The sequence below is a fragment of the Homo sapiens genome, chromosome 16, assembly GCF_000001405.40.
Source record: "Homo sapiens chromosome 16, GRCh38.p14 Primary Assembly".
Lineage (NCBI taxonomy): Eukaryota > Metazoa > Chordata > Mammalia > Primates > Hominidae > Homo > Homo sapiens.
The window spans coordinates 48,773,337-48,775,593 of NC_000016.10; the positions used below are offsets into that span (position 1 = coordinate 48,773,337).

Consider the following 2,257-nt stretch of genomic DNA (forward strand, 5'->3'; position numbering starts at 1 on the left):
ATTGCTGATACCCTTTCTTCCAGTTGATCGCATCGGCTCCTGAGGCTTCTGCATTCTTCACGTAGTTCTCGAGCCTTGGTTTTCAGCTCCATCAACTCCTTTAAGCACTTCTCTGTATTGGTTATTCTAGTTGTACATTCTTCTAAATTTTTTTCAAAGTTTTCAACTTCTTTGCCTTTGGTTTGAATGTCCTCCCATAGCTCAGAGTAATTTGATCGTCTGAAGCCTTCTTCTCTCAGCTCGTCAAAATCATTCTCCATCCAGCTTTGTTCCGTTACTGGTGAGGAACTGCGTTCCTTTGGAGGAGGAGAGGCACTCTGCGTTTTAGAGTTTCCAGTTTTTCTGTTCTGTTTTTTCCCCATCTTTGTGGTTTTATCTACTTTTGGTCTTTGATGATGGTGATGTACAGATGGGTTTTTGGTGTGGATGTCCTTTCTGTTTGTTAGTTTTCCTTCTAACAGACAGGACCCTCAGCTGCAGGTCTGTTGGAATACCCTGCCGTGTGAGGTGTCAGTGTGCCCCTGCTGGGGGGTGCCTCCCAGTTAGGCTGCTCGGGGGTCAGGGGTCAGGGACCCACTTGAGGAGGCAGTCTGCCCATTCTCAGATCTCCAGCTGCGTGCTGGGAGAACCACTGCTCTCTTCAAAGCTGTCAGACAGGGACATTTAAGTCTGCAGAGGTTACTGCTGTCTTTTTGTTTGTCTGTGCCCTGCCTCCAGAGGTGGAGCCTACAGAGGCCGGCAGGCCTCCTTGAGCTGTGGTGGGCTCCACCCAGTTCGAGCTTCCCGGCAGCTTTGTTTACCTAAGCAAGCCTGGGCAATGGCGGGCGCCCCTCCCCCAGCCTCGCTGCCGCCTTGCAGTTTGATCTCAGACTGCTGTGCTAGCAATCAGCCAGATTCCGTGGGCGTAGAACCCTCCGAGCCAGGTGTGGGATATAATCTCGTGGTGCGCCGTTTTTTAAGCCGGTCTGAAAAGTGCAATATTCGGGTGGGAGTGACCCGATTTTCCAGGTGCGTCTGTCACCCCTTTCTTTGACTCGGAAAGGGAACTCCCTGACCCCTTGCGCTTCCCAGGTGAGGCAATGCCTCGCCCTGCTTCGGCTCGCACACGGTGCGCACACCCACTGGCCTGCGCCCACTGTCTGGCACTCCCTAGTGAGTTGAACCCGGTACCTCAGATGGAAATGCAGAAATCACCCATCTTCTGCATCGCTCACGCTGGGAGCTGTAGACCGGAGCTGTTCCTATTCGGCCATCTTGGTTCCTCCCCTATTATTTTTTTTTTATTTTTTGAGATGGAGTCTCACTATGTCACCCAGACTGGAGTGCAGTGACATGATCTTGGCTCACTGCAACCTCCACCTCCAAGGCTCAAGCAATTCTCTTGCCTCAGCCTTCCAAATAGCTGGGGTTACACACACTTGCCACCATGCCCAGCTGATTTTTATATTTTTAATAAAGACGGGATCTCACCATGTTGACCAGGCTGGTCTGGAACTCCTGACCTTCAGTGATCCATCTGTCTTGGCCTCCTAAAGTATTGGGATTACAGGCATGAACCACTGCACCTGTCCTATCTAGCTACTTTCAAAGTTCTCGCTTTGTATTTAGCTTTTGAGAATTTGATTATGATATGTCTCAATAAAGATCTTATATTTAATATTTGCAGTTCTTTGGTCTTTATGGATCTGGATATTCATTTCCCTCTCCAAATTTGGGAAATTTTCCATTATTATTTCTTATGTAAGCTTTCTTTTCCTTTCTCTTTTTCTGCTCCTTTTGGGACTCCCATAGTATGAATATTAGCTTGCTTTTTTGGGGTCCTATGAGTTCCACAGGAATTCTTTACTCTTTTTCATTCTTTTTCTGTTTGTTTGTTTCTCTGGTTCTTTTCAAATGATCTGTTTTCAAGTTCACTGATTCTTTATTCTACTTAATTGAGTCCATTGAAACTCTATTGAATTTTGCATTTTAGTCATTGTATTCTCAGCTCTAGGATTTTTGTTTGGTCCTTGTATTAGTCTGTTTTCATGTTGCTGATAAAGACATACCTGAGACTGAGTAATTCATAAAAAAAAGTTTAATGGACTCAAGTTTCCATGTGGCTGGGGAGTCCTCACAATCATGGCAGAAGGGGAGAGGCATGTCTTACATGGTGGCAGACAAGAGAAAAATGAGAACTAAGTGAAAGGGGTTTCCCTTTATAAAACCATCAGATCTCATGAGACTTATTCACTACAACGAGAACTGTATGAAGGAA

At 46.1% G+C, this 2,257-nt stretch overlaps 1 annotated feature.

Moving 5' to 3' along the window:
* Window positions 429–1,017: an enhancer, noted in NCBI's record as "NANOG-H3K27ac-H3K4me1 hESC enhancer chr16:48807676-48808264 (GRCh37/hg19 assembly coordinates)". NCBI's record gives its function as "activates a minimal SCP1, AML or CMV promoter by ChIP-STARR-seq in naive H9 embryonic stem cells {active_cell/tissue: H9 hESC(naive)}" and the evidence as "EXISTENCE:reporter gene assay evidence [ECO:0000049][PMID:30033119]".